The following is a 24,136-nucleotide window of genomic DNA, read 5'->3' as shown; positions in this document are numbered from 1 at the left end:
TACTGTCCATGTAATTGGTAGTCTACATGTTTATATAATATTTTAGCATCATAATACTATAAATTTGCATTTTTCCGTAAAATTTAAAATATTCTTTAAAGTACCTTGTTAAATTTTGCCAAATATTCCTTTATATAGATGTGCTATGCTTTATTTAATTATTTTTCTATTAGATATTTAGGTTGCTTATAGTTTTTTACTGTCATAAAAATTATCTTTTTTACATAAATTTCTGTTGGTTTTCTATTACATTTGATTCCTGGGACTAAAATTACTGAGTAAAAATATTGAACTTTGGGTTCTTGATACATAGTACTCAGTGGGTTTCTAGAAAGTCTTTTGTAATCCACATTCCCATCAGAATATACGAAGATGTTGTTTTATTGAGCCATCATCAAAATTATTACCTCTATATACTTTTAAGCAGTATTATAAAGTGGACTTACTGACTATAATGTGTTGCTGTAATCGACTGTGCTCAGAAGAACTATATAAATTAAACATGTCCGTTTGCTTTCAAAAAGAATTTTTTTTTTTTTTGAGATGGAGCCTCTCTCTTGTCACCCAGGCTGGAGTGCAATAGCGTAATCTCGGGCTAGTCTCGAACTCCTGACCTCAGGTGATCAGCCCACCTCAGCCTCCCATAGTGCTGGGATTACAGGCGTGAGCCACCACTCCTGGCTAGAACTAGGAAATATTTTTAAGAGTACCAGTAGTTCCCAGGCTGTATGTTGCAATACAGTTTCCACCTAAATCCAAATGTTTTTCAGGTCTAATTGTAAACTGCTACTTTTGTTTAATGTGGACTTACATAGTCTTCTGTATCAATACCTACTTCGCTGGCAGTTTTGTCAAAGTGTGTTGAGTTGAGGCATTTTGCATTATATCCGACGTGGTGTTAGCATTCCTTCTTGTAGCAATCAATTTCATTTCTATTTGCTGTTGTAACTCAAAGTTAACGAACATTCAAAGTTTACTTTCATTTATTCATGCATTTTTTTGTGGACTGCTCTACAAAAGCACCTTTCTTCCTTAACAACATTCTATCCAAACTGAGTGCAGATGAATCTGAGTAGTTTCATTTTAGAGAGCAGCAGTCATATTTGTATTAGGAAGGCAATAGTCTTGGAAGAATACCAAAAAAAAAAATCATTTTAAAGTGTTTGCCTCGTCCTCTAGTGAAAGCATTTGAGTTTCAGAGGCCATGGTGAGTCAGAGTCCCTTGCTAGTGCTTATGATACACTGCTAAGGGACTCTGTGTGTGTGTGTGTGTGTGTGTGTGTGTGTGTGTGTATATATTTTCAGATATATGAAATATCCTATAGGGAAAATATTGATAAAAAATAATTTACCTCTTTATGCACTGAAACTTTTCCTACTTCTCTGCAGGAATTGTTGCAACATAAATACTGGTTCCAACTTAGTAAATTAATTTTTACTTATATATTTCTTTTACATTTCAGAATTGATGAATTGCAAGTTTGTGCCCCATAGCTGCACAGGTATGTATATGAATTACCTATAACTATGTAAATCTATATATTAACTAACAAGTTATAATATTTTTATGTATTAAAATTGCTTATAGATTTCATAATGTAAAAATGTTAATTCTTGATTACTTACAGATAATGACAGCTTCAAAGGATAGTACATTTTATACATATATTTTATTTTATTCTATTGTAAGAATCAAGTAAACATTTCTAAGATTTGATAAGGCAAATAATTTTAATTACAAAGCATTCATCTGGTGAAGAGATTATTTTATGGAATTGTACTATTAAAGTGAACGGTGATGTGGGGTCAGACCATTGCAAAACCACAGTTTTGCCATTATTGTTTTATTTAAACTTTTTTTTATTTTGCTGCTTTTGAGTTTATTTTCTGTGATGGTTGCTTTAGGTATGGAGTGGTTGCAGATGTACTGTCTGCTCCACTGTCTCAAGCACTAGACGAATGGGAAAAAAAAATGTTTGCACCTGTTTAAAATCTCAACCATGCAGTGTTGTGGTTCCTGGGCAACAGGCAGGAATTCTCAAAAGCTTGGTTGCACCTGCTCAATTGTTGCTTGCAGCTGTGTCATATGAGTGAGAGCACAGAGAAGCTTGTTAGCAGTGTGCTTGTGCTCTTACGTGTTTTGTGTACTCTGACTCTGAAAGATTCTTACTTGATGTAGACCTTGAACTGTTACATTGGTTTATTCTAAAACTCACTGGTTTTAGCTTCTGAATATTTTCTTTAAATCCTCTGTTTTATGACTCAAATATTTTTTTTTTAGTAGCTGTTGACTGCCCTAGATAATGTGTATGCCAACTTCTCGAAAGAATATCTGGGAGAGTAGATCTCTTCAGATAACTGGGTTGATAATAATTTTTGTCCTGGTAGAGACATTTTGTGTTTGGCTCAATTTCACCGTGTTGGCAGCCCCACTATGTGAGGCTGGATGTAGTTATTGATCCATTTAGCTGAACAGATTTGAAAGCATTTGGCTATTAGTGGACACATGGGGCATATTCAGAAAATTTAAGGGTATATTGTAAGATAATTCCTTAATTTGTGCATGTGTTTCTGTTGCTGTTGGGGTAGAAGTGAGAGAGAAAAAAAGTGAAGATTAAATAGTAATTCTAAAAGAGGGGCTAAAATCCAGATGTAGATTTTATGGAATATTATTCTTTAATTTAACAAATGCTAGATGCTTGGTATTTTTTCACAAATGTTACTGGTAATGATATTAAATGTATTTTAGTTGTGGCTTTGTATGTTTTCTGACAGATATCTATATTTTTGATATAGACAAGCTATTATAGATTGTATATTTTACTAATAGGTAAAGTTCTATAAATGCAATAAAAAGCTGCAACTCAATATTAAAGATATTTAATTAATTTATTCAGTAGGCTCAAATTTCTCATATTGAAAACATCCAAATGACTTGCATTACTCTCCTTAATGTATTCTTTTAAATGCTGAGGAGTTTCCGTCGGTATTTAGTAACATAAATCTGGTCTTAGAGTTGGTGTGTCTTTTCCTTTTATTGGCCCATTTGGAATCCTTTTTTGTATTTTTAACAAATCACTTTGGTATTAATTTAACCTCTTTGGAAGTAGGAAACACAGTACAAAGGTAAGTAGAGGATTGCCACAGCCTCTTATACAATGCCTTGTACATAGTAGTTGATCAGTAAATGTTGAATGAATGCATTTATGAATAAAACATTTCTGGAGTTGTATTAGAAATAGAGGGATTGTGTCCTAAAATCTTATTACTTGTTATACAGTTTAGATAAGTCTTGATGGCCTTTAGTTCTCATACTGCCAGTTACATAGATATGAGAATACTGATAAATTCTGTCCTTAAAATGAGAAATTAATGTATAAGAACTGATCCTTTTTGACTATTTTAATGAATAATTGAAATAACACTATTTGCAATGTGCTTTAAACTAACTTTTACTTATTACAAGAAGTCTGTATGTTATTCCCATTATACACATAAGGCTGAGGCATTAATGGCTAAGTTACTTGTCACCTTGGAAATACTTTGCAGCCCATAAATAAACAAATCTATGTTATATGGTTAATGCCTCGTCTTTCCTGAGCACTGGCTTATGCTTCTCCCTCCCTATCTCTATCTCACTAAAACACAAAAATAAAATGTGTGTTTAATTCCTTTGGGTCAGTTAAGATCAGAATATTAAAAAATCTGTAATTATTTTTCTAAGCAAAAGTAATGGACCCTGTGTTTACTGTATACATGTTTATAATTATGGTCTCTATGACTCACTAAATTTTAATTATAAATAGAGGTAAAGCCAAGCAAGAGTAGAGTCAAAATAGAACAGTTAAGACTTGCTTTAGATAGATCATTCTAATGTTCCGTTTTGTGTGGCATAAGCCCGTCACATAAGATTGGCACAGTTTACATAATAAGCCAGTTATCTATTGCATTAAAACCTTTTGTTTAGGCTTCTCAAATTTTAGTACCACTGGTTTATGACACATGTACTTTTAGGCATGGAACTACCTTTCCTCTGGGAACAGTTTTTCTTTTACCTCAGTTCACACCAGTGTGCAAGAGGCCAATATCAAAGACATCGGTTTTTTCCAGTGAATCTTAGTGTGGTAGATTGAACTCTATCTCTCTGTTAGTCTCAATATTAGAAATTAGGAGATGAGCCAAGAATATATATTTGCTAGAATATTAATCATTAAACTAGACAGATATTAGCAGCTTTTTGAGGGTCCTGTGTCAGGAATTAGCCTGGAATCTCAAAGAGGGAGGAATTCCTATGCCCTAGGATTCCTGAGCATTATTGCAGGTTCCCCTGCGATTTCAGGGTTAAGGAAATAAAGAAAGAAAATCCACATTTATTAAGAACATAGCATGACTAGATATAATTTCTTTTTTCCCCCTTCTTTCCCTCTCTCCTTTCCTCATTTCCTTTTATTCTGCATGGTGAATGGATGTCTGCTGTTTGCTAGAAATTGTGCTAGGCTAGATGAATACAACAAAATCTTTGTTCTCAAGAGGATACAGGCTAGTGAGAGACAAAGATATATCAATAGAGTTCTTTTTGACTTCACCACTTATTATTAGTATGGTCTCAATCAAGTTACCTAATGTTTCTGTTCCCTTGTTTACTCATTTGTAAAACTGGGAAAATAATAGTATCTGTTGTCTGAGAGTTAATAACACACTACATGTAAGATTCTTGGTCCACTGGTTGGCACATAGCAAGTACTGAAGAAATCTTAGCTATGCTACTGTCATTTCTATCACTACCAGTTCCCTCGCCATCACCACTACTGCAGTTTAGACTCTGAAAAAAGAACATCTAATTGCCTGGGAGCAGGGATCCTGGTTGGGCATTATCACATAGATTGTACTCAGAGGTTCTATACAAAGTTACCTCTGCTTCCCTGGCCTTAGAAGATATTATAAAAATCATGAAGCAATGTACTGAATCTAAAAGACCTTCATGTGATATTTTTATTATTTTCCCCAAATTTTTGTATTTGGGAAAAATACACACAACATGAAGTTTACTATCTTAACTATTTTTTGGTATACAGTTCAATGGTATTAAATACATTTATGATGCTTGCACAGCCATCACCACAATACATCTCTATATAACACTTTCATGTTGTAAAACTAAAATACTATACCCATTAAAATATAACTTCCCATTTCCCTCTGCACTCCCACCCCCAGCCTCTGGCAGCCACCATTTTAGTGTCTGTCTCTGTCATTTTGACTTCTCTATGTAGTTATATAAGTGGAATCATATAGTATTTCTCTTCTCGTGTTTGGCTTATTTCACTTAGCGTAATGTCCTCAGCATTCATCCATGTGGTAGTACATGTCAGGATTTCCTTGTTTTTATGGCTGAATAATAATTAATTGCATGTATATACCACATTTTGCCTGTCCATTCACTCATCAGTGGACACTTGGATTGCTTCCATGTTTTAATTATTATGAACAATTTGGCTATGAATATAGGTGTACAACTATCTCTCTGAGAACCTGCTTTCAATGCTTTTGAGTATATACCCAGAAGTGGAATTGCTAGATTGTATGGTAATTCCATTTTCATGTGTTCTTATAATAAGATTAATTTCATTTAAATTGAATAAAGCCTTTTAGGTTGTGTTTGTGAATAGCATTGATTTCCTCATAAGGAGAATAAGTTGAGTTAGGTTTAGCAAGAACACATCTACTGCTTATGTGAGTTCAAATGCTTTCAACACGCCTGTGAATTCCTTAAATAAATCACCATCTTGGAACCCAGTGATGCACTTAGGATATCTGGATTGTAAATCTCATGCTTGAGTTTGAATTTAGGAGCTTTGGATTCCCTCCCACTGACCTTTACCAAAAGTCTAGCTCCATTATTCAGTAGCTGTGCGACCTCATCGAGGTTGGCAGAGCTTACTAAGCCTCAAGCTTTCCTATGTATAGTATGGTGGTAACAACACCTACCTTTTTAATGGTGGATATGTGGATTAAAGTAAATTAGGTATACAAAATACTTTATTTTGTGCACCACTACCACCTATGTATTATTGCATAGTAGTCTCTGTGTATTATTTTTTCCTCTCTTCTCTTGACAAAATATAAAAATTTTTATAATCAGTAGTATAGGAATTTCAAGGAAGTGTGGGACACATACATTAAGAAAGTTAACTTTGGTCCAATTATGGCTCTTGTGATATCTGTTGCTTATCTCAGTTCAACATAATTAGACTCATAATTTCTAACTATACATGCCACATTTCTATAGAAGGCTAGGGCTGTTTAAAGAAAAACTTAAGATGGGGATGCTCACATTCACTTCAATGTCTGTTGATTATGGAGGTATGTCTTGCAATAGAAAGCGTGTTGACACAACCCAGACAACTCTCATCCCTCTTCTGAAAGTCAGATACCTTTAAAAGCAGTCTCTTGCAAAGGATGAAGAACCCATGCTTGATGAGTTACTTTCATATGCATCAAAATGACTTAAAAGTGGTCCTGTTGGTAATCTAAGCAGCCTCAGGTTTAGTGAGCATAGTTGTCAGTGCATAAATCGCTGTGTAAGGTTTTATTTTTTCTTGAGAAGGAAATTAGTGTGGTAAGATTTTCTGATTTCCTTCTATGCAAACTCAACAGTAGAAAAGTGGATTTATGAATTTATATGTATGATTTTCCCTTAATTATCTTTAATAATAACTAGATGATCTTAATTATAGTAAACCATTTTCCTCTGCCAGGCTGTTTATATTGCAGCAGTATCTTCTTGTACAGCAATCAGAAAAGGATTCTTTTAAAATAATGAAAACATCACTAGATAATATATATAGAATTGATTATTACTCACCAGAGGTAATACAGACCTGCCTAATATCAAATGTATAGTTTCGACCATGATGAATCAAGGTAAATATTGATGATTAATGGAATTTTTATTTAGTTGGGAATATTACAAAGGACCACAAACTTGGTGGCTTAAACAGACATTTGTTTTCTCACAGTTCAGAAGTCTGAAATCAAGGTTTATTAGCCAGGTTGGTTCTTCTCAGGGCTGTGAGGGAAGGATCTGTTCCAGCCTTTCTCCTTGACATATAGATGGCCATCTCCTTCCTATGTCTCTCCATATGTCTTCCTCTGTCTTCCCTCTGTAAGTATCTGTCTCTGTCCCCAGATTTCTCTGCTTTTATAAGGACATCAGTCATATTGAATTCAGGCCCACCCTAATTGCATTATTTTAACTCGATTACCTCTTTAGAGACCTATGTCCAAGTAAGATCACATTTGGAAGTACTTGGGGTTAGAACTCCAACACATGTTTTTTTTTGGAGGGGTTGGGGAACAAAATTTAGTTCATCATAACTGGGTTAATGATAGTTAACATTTATTGAGTGACTTTCATGTTCCAGATGCTATATATATACATATGCACATTTATGTGAGTGTATATGTATATATATGCATGTATGTATATATAGATATGTAATATCCAATATATGTATGCATATATGTTTTATGATCCTTGCAACAGCCCTGTGAGGAAGATGTTATTTCTCCCATTTTGCAGGTGAGAAAACAAAATGTCAGAGAGGATAAGCAATTTGTCCAAAGTCATATAGCTTGTAAATATTCAATGCTGGTATTTGAACCTAGCATCCCGTGCTGCTTTTAAATGGATAAACCTGATAAAAACTCAGTCAAAAGCCCAAAGATACTTTGAACATTTAAGGTTTTTGTGTTTTGTTGTTGTTGTTGTTGTTGTCATTAGGACTTGTGTCAAGGGACATTTTATCTATCAAAAATGGTGCATAAATGCCTAATCACTGACTGCCGACGTGTTTACTCCTGAATTTTTTACTGACAATTGTCTTCGAAGGCTTAGTGTTTTAGCGCTCCTGAACCTGATAAAGCTTTTGGACAGGATGGAATCTGAACATAGACTGCAAGCGTTGATTCTGGCCCCCATTTGTATGGATGGCACTGAGAGACAAGTCATGCCCAGAGTCTGCTACTCAGCACTTGTGCTTTCTACTCTCCTTTTCTCTCACTCCCTCCCCTTCCTCATCTTTTTTTTTTCACTATTTACCAGGTAGCTTGTGATTTTTTTCTTTTATCCAGTCTTTGCCATAAGTGATAAACATCAAAAGGGGATGGAGTGAAGAGTCACAAAATTGGGAACATTTCTGCTTACATGAAAGCCAGTTCACTTGTAGGTGTGTTGTGTACCCTGGCCACAGGCTTATTGTTATTCACACTAAAGAGCAAGGCACATTGTGTACCTTACATAAGTTTTCCAACTTACCAATGAAAACAGTTTGTTTCTCACTTTGAAGCTTTAAAGCAGAACTTGTTCATGACCCAATTTCACTAATAATTCTCTTAAGTAACCCTTGTACTCATTTAAAGATTTTTTTCCACCCACTGTCTGTCTAGCCTGGTTTAAAATTTTTATATATGTACTTTTAAAAAATTGATTAGCTGGAGAGCTGCCCATTCCTCTGTGCTGTATAATAAGGATTTTAAAACTGCACACTGAATTCTGTATAGTGTAATTAAAACTGACCCACATTTGGACCTGAGTACACCAGGACTTAGCCAAACTTGCCATGAGCTGAGTTCTGGTGGCAGATGGGAACTAATGAGGACACACTCCACTCCAGAATTTCCCAGCTGCTTGGCCCCTTTTTGTACAAACAAGGTTTGGAGCGAAGTCCGGATCCCAAGAGCATGTTCTGTAAATGTGCTGTACCCAATGATTTGGGAAATGTTCTCACAAAATTGGGCTGTTTCAAGGTATCCATAAGGCCTCAGTGACTTTCAGATTTAAATTCAAAGAGGCCTTTGTGCTTTCTACAACCAATTTTTAATTTTAAAGTGAATAAAACATCGCATTCCCCCATCTTTTCTCTTATGCCTGGTGATGGAATGATCACTTTATATCACAACCTGGAAATTTGCAGGTCATTATCTCAGAGACAGTTGTCCATCAGGATAGACAAAGTCTCCTTGCAACCTATGGATCTCTTCAACTAGTTTGATGTCCTGGGACTATTCAGGCAGATGTAATTGAATCAGTTTGAAGCAGCTGTAGCTGGCATGTGGTCTCTCAGATTGCTAGCACCTGCTTGTTTTTTTGCAACTCACTAGAGTGAGAGAAGTGCCAAAACCAGCATTGGTCTTGGAGCAGATAAAGCACTCCAGATCTTATATCCCATTCCCCTTCCAACCTAGCCACATCATCACTGGTGCCGAAATTAATAAAATCCCTTTTCATGATTAGGTCTGAGGTATACTTTTACTTCTCATTCTTCTCTGTATTCAGATCCTGACAGTACTGACCATGCAAATCCAAAAAAATAAGGGAGTATAATGGTGATCAGGTGGCTTTGGGGCTCTCTTATCATTAGACAACTGGGTAGCCTGTGGTTTGCAGAATCATTTAAATGAATGCACCAAATTTATTTGCTGTTCCAGCACAGTCTTATTGGCACAGAGAATAAGCAGTTAATGTATAACAAACTGTGAGCTGTTATGGAATATGATGAATACACTTCCTTAGCAAGACGGAATGTAAAATGGAGCTATCTCTCTAAAATAAGGTCTAAACTAACCACTGTGGATTTCTTCAACACTTACTATGTGCAGGAAAATGAAGTATACTAAAAGAGAGATACAAATTTTAGGACATAATAAGTATGTAAAATATATTTTGAAATACACAGATTTGGATATTTTTTTTTTTTGGAGATGGAGTCTCGCTCTGTCGCCCAGGCTGGAGTGCAGAGGCGCGATCACGGCTCACTGCAACCTCCACTTCCTGGGTTCAAACAATTCTCCTGCCTCAGCCTTCCGAGTAGCTGGGACTACAGGTGCCCGCCACCACACCCGTCTAGTTTTTTGTATTTTAGTAGAGACGGGGTTTCACCATGTTGCCCGGGCTGGTCTCAAACTCCTGAGCTCAGGCAATCCACCTGCCTGGGCCTCCCAAAGTGCTAGGATTACAGGCATGAGCCACCACGCCTGGCTGGATTTTTAAAAAATGTTTAAACTCATTTAAGAAGTAGTTATCTTCTCTTTGTTTCATTTTATTATTTGGCAGGTATATATTTAATCGTTAAGTGTTATCAATATCCTAATGTTGAATTTGAATCTGGTCATGGTAAAGACAATATATTTACTTACATTTTATAGCTTATGTTACAAAGTTTTTCTAAAATGGGTTCAATATTGATAATATTTTGAGAGAAGCTATGACATAAATGGAGTTCACAATAGTAATAAGAGTGAATTCTAAAATGGTAATTTATTGTCATCAGCAAATGCCTATGTTTCAAGGCATGACTACATGCTGTGAGCATAGAGAAGTATTACATGCAAGAATCTTATGATACTTGAGGAGACATGATACAGGTTTTTTAAAAAATAAAACAAGGCACTCTCAGTGTCAAATTGCATGCTTAGACCTGGATTTGGTGTAAAATAAATGCTACAAACATTTTTTTTAAGTTAGGCAGTCTATTTGTGAAGTCAATGTTCTAAATTCAGCATCCCCTGTCTCCCCTTCACTGTCCATGAAACAACACTAATCCATTATGGCTGTCTCTGTCACTACACCAAAACTTGACCTCAGAGTCCCTCTGAAGACAGTACTTTGACAGCCATACCAATTGTTGGAAGTTTCATGTAATAGGAAACCCATTTGCCATTGTTGAAAAAGAATCATTAAGTGCTAAAGATATTTAGTGGAGGCAGAGATCTCTGTGAACTGCTGGGAAGAGGCTGAACTTAAGCTGGGCCTTGAAAAAAACATGAAGCATAGGACATAAGGAAATAGAAAGGAGAACATCAAGCATCGCCAAGCTAAGTAATGCATACAAGTGAGTTCAGATTGGAATTATGTGGCATAGTCAAAGATAACGAATAGACCTCAGGTGTAAATAAATAAGTGGTTATATAATTATTAGTTTAATGTTTTTCTCCTCCGCCAGACTGTAAACTCTGTGAAATGTGATAATATTATTATTATTTTTCTTCCTTTTTTATTATACTTTAAGTTCTAGGGTACATGTGCACAATGTGCAGGTTTGTTACATATGTATACATGTGCCATGTTGGTGTGCTGCACCCCTTAACTTGTCATTTACATTAGGTACATCTCCTAATGCAATCCCTCCCCCGTCTCCCCACCCCAGGACAGGCCCGGTGTGTGATGTTCCCCACCCTGTGTCCAAGTGTTCTCATTGTTCAATTCCCACCTATGAGTGAGAACATGCGGTATTTGGTTTTCTGTCCTTGTGACAGTTTGCTCAGAATGATGGTTTCTAGCTTCATCCATGTCCCTACGCTACTCAGACCATCCTATCCGAGTTAGATCTCCCATGTGTTTCTGTAGGTTCTTATTGTTTTCATTCACATACACAATTTACTTCACAGTTTACGGTGCAGATTATCACTGCCAAGATTCTGTATGAGGAATATAGGGGAACTCAAAGAAGATTTTGTTCTTTTTAAATTTATTTAAGAACAATAATTTTTTAAGAAGCTGATTTTTATTTTTATAAATACTGTGGTGCTTTCAACACTGGCTTGGAGGAATTTCTATTTTAACTGCAGTATTTAAGAATTTTACTGTTAATACATATCTCTGGTTTCAGGGAATAAAGAGACAATATAATAGAGTAGAAAGAGTACAGGGTTTAGAAATAGAAGAGAGGGATTTAAGTTTCTCTGTTATCACTTATTGGCTATGAGATATAGGCAGCTCTTCGTGTGCTTTTACGCTCAGTTTCCTCATCTGTAAATTAGAGATGACAACATACCAAAGCACTTTAAAATTAAAAACATCTCTTCTTCTTCCTCCTCTCATTAGTCATCATAATCATAATGCTATTCTGAAACCATGTAATAAAATATGGTCTTCTGTATAGATCCTTTTTTTTCTACCACTTATTATTTGCTCTAGTTATTGCAGATTTACTCTACACCTTGAGTAGAGCATTATACTAATCTAAAAAGAAGCAAGAATTCCAGAAACACCCTATAACCTAGTCATGGCTAATATTTACTGTTGAGTTATTTGCACCTCAATAACAGTTCTCTGTCATTTGTAATATAACTGCTTAATATTAATAATTTATGTATTAAAAGTAAATGTTTTATACCAATCCCAAACAGTGCCTTTTTATGATTTATTTTTTATTCACTCATTCATTTAATGCAAATTATTGTAGCTACTGACACAAATGTATTCACTTTCTACCTGATTATATAGGAATACCCTAATTATCTATATTCACATCTTATTGAACTTATAAAGTGTTAGGAGACCAGTGTCTGAGAAAAAAAGTCAAATATAAATAGATTCATCTCTGAGTTGTAAGAACCTTTTGTTCCCACCTTTAGAATATTTGGTGACTAATTAATTACTAATAGTAATTAATGCACAACTCTTAAGTTAAAAAACCAAAAGAAAAAGAATTTGATATTTGCAGTTTTCTAGGAAGTTAACGTTTTCATTCTTTCCTGCTTTAAACATGTAATATCTAATAGTTAATATCTGCATGTATCATCCTTATGGTTTTGAGAGTCTTTAAGGGAAATTATGAATACAATTTCTATTTTTCTAAACGAAAGGATTTCTGTGCATTAGGGTAAAAATGTGTGAATAGATATTTCACACATTCATATTTGTGTAAAATATATTTTCAAAATATATTTCTTAAGCTATTTAAAAATATATTTTTAAAAGTATTTAAACTTTTTACACTACATTTCATTGTTATATTTTGTTAAGCATATCAAAAGAAGATTATACCACAGGTTATGACTTTTTAAAGGTAAAAAAATTAAATAAGGTAGGACTATCTGAAAGTTAAGATTTAAGTGTAAGTACATAAAAATATGCACAGAAAGTAAATAGAGATATTGAAAATTAACTAAAATGTTGCTTCTATAATGGCTTAAATTTGTGTAGCAAATAGGATAGCTGAGTTTAGTATTACTTAAGAAATGGTTAATTTTGTATATCAGGAGACAATTCAAACATAATCTTTAATCATGCTGATCTGATGCCTCAAGCCGTGATCTGTATACTTATTAGGGTCTTTGCCAAGTCTCATGATAGTATATACTCTAGACCAAAATAAAATTGATTTTCCTCTATGTAAATTTGTTACTGATATTATATTTAAATTTCCATTGATGAAAAATAGGTATATTTACTCTCTGAATCAAGTTCTTCAGGAACATAAATAATTTTTTATTTGAGAACTGATTTATGTCCAATTAAGTAATTTCCAGTATACTTTTGCTATTGATCATATATCATTGTAAGATATTAATTATTTACATCAATATACCACTTGGATTTTTAAAAATATAAAGGCCTCACTTTGTCACCCAGGCTGGAGTGCAGTGGCATGATCATGGCTCACTGCAGTCTCAACCTCCCAGGCAGTCCTCCCATCTCAGCTTCCCAGTAGCTGGGACTACAGGTGTGCACCACCATGCTCAGCAGATGTTTAAATTTTTTTTTTGTAGAAATGGGGGTCTCACTATGTTGCCCATGCTGGTCTCAAACTCCTGGGCTCCAGCAGTCCTCCTGCCTCAGCCTCCCAAAGTGCTGGATTTACAGGCGTGAGCCACTGCACCCAGCCTATTAATTTTCTTTTCTTTCTTTCTTTCTTTTTTTTTTTTTAATGACCAATTCCACGTTAAGATCAGTTTCTGGCTTGCTTGAAAGGATTGGATCAGAAGATGTTGCATCACTTTTGGAGGGCATCTGCATTTGATTTAAGAGGGAACAGCTCCAAATAGAGGGCAGTACATTTCGTTTGAGGCTTACTACTACCAGAAACCATCACTGCAACCTCTTAAGTTTTCTCATTGATTTTTATTTGTCCTTATGTGCTCCTATCAATTGGGGGCTTTGAGATCACTATTTACACTTATAAAACTTCTGTATGTCTTCCTCTGTTTTAGTCCTAGAGAGTACAGGGAAAGTGTACTAGTTACCTATGGCTGCTGTAGTAAATTATGATAAACTGGGTGACTTAAAAACGACAGAAATTTATTCTCTCACAGTTCTGGAGGCTAGAAATCAGAAATCAAAATGCAGCAGGGCCACATTCCCTCTGAAGGCTCACAGTGAAAATCTTTCCCTGGCTCTTCCAGCTTCTGATGGTCCCATTTATTCTTTGGCTTTTGGCACTATGACGTCAAACTCTGCCTTCATCTTTACAGCACCTTCCCCTCTGTATGTGTCCCTCTGTGTCCTCTCCTCCTATTAAAAGCATATCAGTTATTGGATTTAGGGCCCACCTTAAATCCAGGATGATTTTATCTCATGGTTCTTAATTAGTTGCATCTGCAAGGACCGTATCTCCCAGGAATGTTACATTCTGAGGTTCCAGGTGAACATGAAATTTTGGGGACTCTAGTCAACATTCAACCTACTATAGAGAGTAATGTTATTTTTTGGTAGTAAATATCTATGGAAGACTTATTTACACACTGCTATGGTTTGAATTTTTGTCCCCTCCAAAACTCATGTTGAAAGTTAAGCCCCAGTGTGGCAGTATTGAGAGCTGGGGCCTTTAAGAGGTGGGTCATGAGGGCCCATGAATGGATGAGTCTTTTCTTGGGTTAATGAATTACTGGGTTATCATGGGAATGGGACTGGTAGCTTTATAGAAACATAAAGAGAGACCTGCGCTAGCACAGTCTGCCCCCTTGCCATGTGATGTCCTACGTTGTCTCAGGATTCTAGAGTGTTGTCACGGCAAGAAGGCTTTCACCAGTTTTGCTCCCTCAACCTTGGACTTCCCAGCCTCCAACTATAAGAGATAAATTTCCTTTCTTATAAATTGCTGAGTTACAAGTATTCCGTTATAGGCGACAGGAAACAGACTAAGACATATGCTAACATGTTAATTATTTTTCCCCTCGGTATTTGACAAAGTTTATCCTGTCCTCTGTTTTTAGAATACTTGTAGCCTTAGCACCTTGGTATTTTTTATGAATTTCATGGAATTATGAATCATTTTCTGTCATACTTTTTTAAACTACTGAAACTTCTCATTATAGATGACAAGGTTGAGGCATAGAATAGGTAACCAACAGTCACTAACTCTGCAGATGGACTGCAGAACTAAAAACTGACATTGGTATCATCCAACTTTTCTGTCAATCCATGTGTGTTGAGATGCCAAATATACTCTTATAGTCCATGGTACTTTCACATAACTTTACTTGTGACCTAAGTAAATCAAGAGTTGCAGAAAATGTTTTTCGTAATGATCTCCAGATAATATAAGCCAAGTATACAATTGAAATTTAGTGTCGTAGATGGACAAAAGTATTGTGCTGGATGACTGCATGTTGAGATCACAATCCGTCTAATTTCTCTGCTTAGCATCGGCCAGGTCTTTATTAGAGAACTATGGATATGGCCATACGTACAAATACACATCCATTAAATGAACACTGGAATCATGAATATCCAGGTCTAGATTAAAAGAGCAAGCCCAAGGCTCAGAAAGTTAATTTCTAACTTTAAATAGCTAGTAAATGGCTGACACAGGACTAAACTCAGCTCTGCTCAACTCAGACACCTGTTTTTCTATTTCTCCCAAGTTGATTCTCAAACTGCAGGAAATCTTTGTGTTTTCCCCTTTTAAGTAAGGAGCAGACCACTATTAGGGTGAGTGGGTAGAGGGAGCAGAAGGTGAAGTAAACCATTCCTAAAATAATTGGGATATAATTGGAAGCATTTGCTGACCCTTTCCACCTCATGGTTGTAGGATATTACAAGTATGTTTTCTTTAAGAATGCTCAATAAGCCAACATAGATAAATTTGAATTTTAAACATAGATAATTAATAGAGTGATTATATTAATTAATCAGAACCAGTATTATAGGTCTCATCTACTGAACATTTCTTTTAACTTTCAGCTCTTTTGGTGCACTTCTGTTCTGGATAAAATATAATTGTATGCTCAGAGGACAGAAAAATTTTACAAATGAGCTTAGGCTTCCCTGCCAGAAAAGAAAGGATGAAATAGAAATGAAAATGAAAATTAAGTAATCCCTGAAATGATAATATAGTTAAATGTGAAAATATGCCTTTGATAATACCAAACTGGGATTTGCACCCAAAACACATTAATTGAATTAACCTGTTTTAGTTTGTCTTGTATCTGTTGCCGAAAAAAAAAAAAGAAGAAACTATTATTTTGTTAGATAGCAGATTTCTTTCTGGTGTTGATTACTCTTCTATCATGAGTAAATAATTACAATTCAGTTGATCTCAGGCACTAGAGACAGAGCTCTGAACTAGAAGACCGAGAGAGAGACACTAAACAAATTAACATACAACTACAACAAAAAGGATGAAGAATGGCTGGTAATCCGGAGGCAGGGTGTAGGTGTCCTTTCTGAGGAAATAAAGTTTGAATTATAAGACTTGAATGACGTGAAGGAGCCATTCAAGGGAAGATCTTGTGTACAAGAAATGCAATCTCTAAATCATTACAGGTTACACAGAGTTGTGCATCCAAGGTTTGTGTGTATTAGAGTAGCTGTGGCAAGGGAGGAGTGTTCTGTCAACTATTAACAATGTACAGTTGGGAGGTCTGCTTCTTCAGGGGCAACCAGTTTATCCTCCTCTTTATCCTGGTACTAAATATAGCCATAGTAAGCATTTGGGAATGGATTAAAAATGCTTAACCAAATCTCCTTAAACTTTGCCATATCCTATAAATTTTAACCATATCTCCTGAAATTTTGTTATTTCTGAAAGCAGAACTAAGTTTGGCCACAAAGGGAGGGATTGAATTCATTGCTACTCTTAGCTCTCCCTAGCAATTTCATTGTCTGCTCTGGTACCAGGGTTTGTTAGAGGAGCTACAGGGGTTTTTGAGCCATCATTTCTCCCTTTCGCAAATCACTTCTTCAAGTAGTAGTATCAGCCCTTTTCCTCCTTTTCTGTATATCAAGACTGAAACTGAAAATGAAGGGTTAAACTTATTTTTTTTTATTAGTCTCATAGGAGCCCAAGATTTAACATAGAACTTTTTCGGAATATATAGTTATCTCTCCATTTGAGGTGAGCACAGGATGTCTATTTTTCTCATTTCTACTTTCATCTTGAAACAGAAATTTCACCAAAAGCTTCATTCAAAATGTTTTATTCATAGCTAAGCAAAGATGTATGGTAGTAAATCATTGAAACTGATGATCTTTGATTGAATTTTCCTTAGTTTAATGTGTCTAATCAACTGTTCATTCACCACATTATTTTCCCATTGCTCGATGTTATACCAGATAACAGTATTACCATGACCCAGGCTGATACTATGTGAAAAAATGCACAAGGAAGTAGGCCGTCTACTGTGAACATTTGAAAAACACAGTCAGATGACAGTTTCAGAAATTGTGAGGTTTTTAGATGTGAGAATCTAACTTTTTTCACTACAGATACTAAAAATCTATCAATATACTTTTTAGTAGGCTTTAGCCACATCCTAATTTACAAATGTACCTATGGTGTGTGATTAAGAACACACCGGCCGGGCGCGGTGGCTCACGCCTGTAATCCCAGCACTTTGGGAGGCCGAGGCGGGCGGATCACGAGGTCAGGAGATCGACACCATCCCGGCTAAAACGGTGAAACCCCGTCTCTACTAAAAATACAAAAAATTAGCCGGGCGTAGTGGCGGGCGCCTGTAGTCCCAGCTACTTGGGAGGCTGAGGCAGGAGAATGGCGTGAACCCGGGAGGCGGAGCTTGCAGTGAGCCGAGATCCTGCCACTGCACTCCAGCCTGGGCGACAGAGCGAGACTCCGTCTCAAAAAAAAAAAAAAAAAAAAAAAAAAAGAACACACCATTCTTACCAGTTATACCCCTTGAATCTTACCAAGGAAATTCCCATGGTTCTGTCCTTATCACAATGGAACCCAGAAATGAAGGAATGAACTACTTGCTTTCTTAGAAATACCACAGTGCAGACTTTGCTGTATCTAACAGATATGACCATATAATTTGTCATCTGAATAACGATCGAGAGATTTTTGCTTTAAAAATATATAACCAAATGATAGGAATATTAAGTCACAATGGAAGAAGGCCATTATTATACTGAAGCCTCAAGTACCACAAATTAAAAACAAGATGGATATTACTATTTTAACTTGTGAGCATGCACTATCAGGTTATCCAATATCAAAAACATATTAAGAGTGCTTGTGGCAATATATACCTGAATTATAAATGAATGTTGATATTTTGACATTATTTTGTATATATGAGAGCATTAATCAAGGTTAGATTCAACAAGTCAGCTTCGTGGTTGTGGCTTTAAGTTGGCAGTGAAGTATGTAAGTAATACATTTCTGATCAGTTTTGTTTGATAGTCTTGTTTCAACACCTTGGCAGAACTAAACCATTGAGACCCAGAGGTACTTGTGCATGGGGATGGTCTTTAAGATAATATTTAGTTTATTCAATGAGCCAAAATTTTCAGTACATTTATTGTTTGTTTTTGTCATAAAGACATGGCTACAGTCTACATACAAAATACCAAGTAGAGATTTGTTTATTGTAGTAGGTACAGGTGCTCAAAATTGATATTTAAGTCTCAAACATATTTTTCCACCATTCTGTATTGGATTATTAACACATGAAAATATGTACTGTTAGAACTATAAGGTAACTTACAGATTATTCTTTGAGCTAATTTAATTATTATTTTACAAATGAGGAAATGAAATCCCAGTGAAGTTGAATGATTTACTGTGGGACTAGAGAAGTCTAGAATGAGAAATTTAACAGTGCAGTACTCTTTACTTCCATGTATATACCTTTCACCATTTACCATTACACTGAACAATCTTTCTGCTATTTGTATTTTTAAAATGTGCTCACAGGGTTAAAAAATTTGAATGGTACACAAGGATATAAAGTGAAAAGTATGTCTTTACCGACTGATAGCACTATTCACCAGAGATAAAAAGTTTCAACTGTACTTGCGTAGAGAAATGTGTCTATATACCTTTAATTTAAAAACAGAAAGGGAATCATACTGTTCAAATACATTTGTACTTTTTTCTTAATGCCATGTCTTAGAGATTTTATATATTCTAGAAATTTTATAGTGTTTATATTTTGGTATATTATATTTTACCTTTTCCTCTTTTTAAACAGCTACTTAATATTTCCATTTTATGGATGTCACAAAATGTATTTAACCACTGCCTATTTATGGAAATTTGGTTATTTACAGTTTCTTCGCTGTTTAAAAATATTACAAAACAGCTTTCTAAATATATCCTTGTTTTTATTTTAATATCCACATAGCATACTTTCTTAGATATGTTTATATAATTAAAATTTTGATGCCTGTTAAAAATTTTCCTTCAAAAACATTTTTCTGACACACACATGTAACAACATTATATGAGAATTCCTGCTTTCTCACAGCCTCATCAGTACTGGGCTTTAGCAAATTTTTCCTAATCAGAAAAGTGAAAATGATATTTCACCATTGTTTTGATTTACATTTCTTTACTCAGGAGTTAGATTAAACAACATATTAAAATTTCACTGGCCATTTACATTTTTGTTTACTTTTTTGTGAATTGGCTATAATACTTTTCTGTATTTTTCTATTGAGTTTTTAAAAATATTTTATTGGTTTGTATAGCCTCTTTGTATATTATGGAAAATAAATTTTCTGTAGTATGTGTTAGACATATTTCTTGGTTATTAATTTGCTTTTTGAGTTTTGTATATGTAGAAAAATTTTTTATGTAGTTTCATTTTTTCAATAATTTCCTTTATGGCTTAGAAAACTTCTTACACCAGAAAAATTACTCAGATTTTCTTCTAGCACATTTATGATTTAGTCTCTTAATATTTACATCTTTGATTCAACCAAAACTTATTTTTGAGAATGAAAATAAAGTTTAATTTTATCACTTGAAATAAAAGCACCAATTTTTTTAATTCTTTGAAATTTCATGAATTTTAGATTTTTCTGAAGCTTTATGAACTTTTTAGGAAGGCAGCGATCATCACTAAGGTAAAAAGAAAGCATATTAGACCAAGAAATGTAATTTTAAAATTGACATTTCTTATTACTTATCAATCCCTGATGTCTATTCTTGGTGACATAGGAAAATCCCAAGAAAACATCTTCTTTATAAAAATATATAATTATATTTTGCTAATTTAAGCAATGATTAAATCAGTGAAACCATCATAGAATAAATCAAACCCCTAGTGAGATACTTTTAACAGCAAATCCAGTTCATATGGTAATACTAATTTTATTTACTTAACAAAAGCACTTACTTATCAGTAAGACCCTATATCTGTACAAATGAAATCAAAATGTGAAAGTTGTAATTTAAGCGGGACACAATAGCTTGGTGATAAATAGATTTATTTGTACCTTGAAAAGTTCACTTCAAGTAATCATTGTTATTAAAAGGCAATTATTTCACATGGTTTTTGTAAGCATAAAAAGCAGATTGGAGACTCTTTCTAAGAGTTGTGCTGACTGACATCTTTGTAAGATTTGTAAATAAGTGAAAGATCCATTCAGCTAGAAAAGTTGAATATTCAGTAATAAAAGAACATTGACCAGTTTAACATCTATTATATTTACATCTGTAGTTGACAAGGAGAGAAGTAAATATAGGTGAAATGTGAAATCTAAGTAGGAGAGAGGGATTAGGAAATGTCATTTAACTTTTTTCCTACTCTTCATTTTATTTTTAATATCATATTTATATTTCCTTTCTAAAAGTAGTACGCTATCAGTGTAAAACTATTTGGAAAACACAAAAAGACAGAAAGAAGACAAGAAAATCACCATTGATATTACTATTACCACTTAAAGAAAAAGTTATTCTTAATATTTTGGTGTGTATATGTATGTGTGCATGCAACAACATAGGATTATGCAAGGTTATGATTCTGATTTTTCAACTAGCAATATATTATGAATATTTGTTTCTGTCAATATTTTTTGTGACATGATTTTTTTAATTGATTATATAGTATTCCATACAATGGATGTGTTATAATTTACCTAGCTGATCTCTAATTTTTGGACATGTAAGTTGCTTCCAATTTTTCTCCAGTAAACATGAATTACAATGAATATTATTGTGACAATCTTTTTTATAAACATCCCTGATTATGTCATCAGGTAAATACTTAAGTGTAATAATTGAATCAAAGATATATGTATTTTAAGGGTTTTGATACATTTAGCTATACCATTTACACATTGCTGTGTCTGTCCCAGCAGTCTCTGAAAGTATCTATTTGTTCATATCCTCATCAGTTCTTGGCATAAAACTTAATATGGTTCAAAGAAAAACTCTCAGTGGTCTGGGAAGAATGAATACAAAGAGGTGGGAAGAGGTCAAGCAGAGGTAAGTGATGTTTTTGTCTAAGAGATGTTGCAGGCAGCCTCAGGCTATGGAGAACAGCTTTCTCCAAAGCAAACTTGCACTTTCAAAGGCGGCCCGGACTCTGCGTGCTAACTTGGCACAGTTGAGATGTCTCTGTTTGCTTTAAGGCAGTGGCCTGACCCTTCAAGCACACCCCATGTATTCAGTGATCGAGACCACTTACTCATACTAATCATTGCACACAGAAAATACATAAAAGATTTGTATTCATCACTCAATATATTTTGCTCCTCAAGTGTCATGAAACATTCAGGGTACATTAACTGGCAAATGCACACCTGGAGTATGTTACTTAGCTTTAGAAACTGCTAATTTTTAAAAAATCAAATATTTAATTTTGAGGAAAAAAATCAGTTTTGGATTTTGAGCATATATATCATCTTTCATTTTGGCCCAATTAACCCAGCAGGTGTGTGTAAATTAGGTCACTACTTTGTCACCGTGGTAACATGCATTGGGGAGGTGGATCTTAACCACCTCCAGCACAGGTGATGTTGGCTGAGTTGGTATTAAGAGGTGCTTTAGAAACAAACAAGGCAGAATTTAATATGTTAGAGTGTAGAAAATAGGTCTGACGTCGGATACCAACAGATAATTCTATCACACAAAAGCAAGTACTGCCTCAAATCCGTATAAATAAGGAAGATCTAATGAGCCTCAGAAACAGGAATTGTATTGTAAAACTTACTGACAATCTCTGAAAGAACAGACACTATAGCACTCAGGAGGCGGTAGTCTCATTTCCTCATGGAGCAAGGGATTTGAAGGTCAGGGTCAGGTTCTCTGCAATTTAAGGCTGTTTTTAGAACTAAGCCGTGGTTTTCGGAGGATCAACAACTTCCTGACTACTCATTCCAGTGACTAGATTTTAGTCACTACTGAGGGTTTTTTTTTAAAGTGCAGTGTCTAATTATTTCTTTTAAATGCTGTTTGGATCATTATTCATAATTGTTTATGGGTTAAGAAGTTGGCAGAGTTGGTTTATGCCAGCACTCCAGCACTCATACAGTCCCCATAACTCAGGCTTCTTCTCACCAGGTGGAAAATCAGACATGCTTCAAGATCGCTAGTTGAGATTGTGCAATCTGTTTGGCTGCTAAAGGTTCCAAATTATGTGGGCATTCTGCAGCCCCACAGAGTGGTAGAATTTCTTCACTTATCACTGACAAGTTCACACTTCTTTGGGTCACTAAAATTGTAAATTTGCATTATCAGATGCAGAAAACAGGCCAAATTAATAATGTTAAATATATGTCCAAGGAAATGCATCTCCCATGACCATTTGCAGCACCCAGATACGGATGATAATTCCATCGAGGCTTTGGTGCCAATTCGTACCTGGCTTTATAATTTTCAGTTTGCCCTTATGTCCTGCTTTACATTTGTATAGCTTGTTATAATCTTGAAGCATTTTTGTGTACCATATTTCTTTTTTGTGTGTTATTTTAGACATGGCATTTCAGAAACTTGAATGAGCCTAGTGTTTATTTTCAGTTGGTTGTGACCGCAGCTTTATTAGTTATTTTGTGTGTTTTCAATAATTGTTAATATTTACAAAACACTGAACAAACCTCTTCAAGATTGCTTTACATAATCTCCTTTTCCATGTGTCAAGGATGAGAGCTACAGAGAGAAGAGTCATAGTGACTCACCCCGTATCACAGAGTATGTGAATTTACTTTCAAAGGAGAGTCAAGGGTCCCTGGTTTTCAGTTCTTTTTTTTTTTTTTTTTTTTAATTCTCCAAGAGTCATGCAGGTTTGGAGACTTACAAAGGGATAGCATTGCTGAGTGGAGAAACATTTGACTCAAGTACTCTTTTACCCCTAACATCTATTTTACCATTTCCCTCCCTATATTCAAGTCTTCTTTTCCATCATCTCTCCAGTAGATGCTGAAAACCATTTCTTTTTGAAGAGCTGGTTCATATGATAAAGACCCAAAGTCTCAATAAAATCTATTAACCTGTTAAGGGTAAGTGTATGCATTGTTCACTGGAGAGCATGATGCCATATTCTACCCTGTCTGCTTGGGAACAAGGCCGATGGCAGCACAAATTAGCATCAGAACAGAGCTTTATCGCAGTGGAATCCCAGGTTGTTTTAGGAATGAGACACGAAACAAAAATAGATAAAGGGATTAAATCTATCAAATATAATAGAGGAAATTGTAGTAGATTCAGGGAACTTGGACCCCTGAATTGTAGTAACCAAACTGGAGAGGAAATGGACAGTTAAACAAAGTAGGGCTGTTTCTTTTTTTCATTGTTTGATGAAATAATTTTTGCCCCTTTTAAATGGTATGTTAAAAGAGAAAGAGGGAGCCTGGTATATCTGAAACAAAGAGCTTACACAGTCACCAAGCTGGTTGGTTTTTATACCTTCCTTTACTGAGTATTGTCCTTCAGTACAATACAGAGCCATTTCTTTGTTCTCACAAGCTAGCAGTTAAATTGTATGTAAATGTATGCAAATTAGATGCTGTCTAATAAAGAGAGTCATTAGATGGAAGAAATATTTAGTTTAGAAAAAAAAGCAGGTGTATTGTGTAAAAGAAAATGTAAGGCTACAAAAAAAGCCCAAACTTTTGTGGACAGTTATAGAAAAAATTATTAAAATAGATTTTTAAAAGACTTACGTCTTC

At 34.9% G+C, this 24,136-nt stretch overlaps 1 protein-coding gene across 9 annotated transcripts in view; it reads left to right on the top strand.

Annotated features, from left to right (window-relative positions):
• ZBTB20 (zinc finger and BTB domain containing 20) overlaps positions 1 to 24,136 on the top strand; it is an 832,789-nt gene that overhangs the window by 245,483 nt on the left and 563,170 nt on the right. For 8 of the 9 annotated variants that reach the window (NM_015642.7, NM_001348801.3, NM_001348800.3 and 5 more), the window contains one exon: positions 1,464 to 1,502. The gene's annotated coding sequence lies outside the window, so the exon portion shown is untranslated. Of the gene's footprint in view, positions 1 to 1,180; positions 1,208 to 1,463; positions 1,503 to 24,136 lie in introns of those variants that run through there. The other variant, NR_121662.3, reaches the window with a different exon arrangement.

This window comes from Homo sapiens, chromosome 3 (genome assembly GCF_000001405.40).
Source record: "Homo sapiens chromosome 3, GRCh38.p14 Primary Assembly".
Taxonomy (NCBI): domain Eukaryota; kingdom Metazoa; phylum Chordata; class Mammalia; order Primates; family Hominidae; genus Homo; species Homo sapiens.
This window is presented reverse-complemented; position numbering and strand designations above follow the sequence as displayed.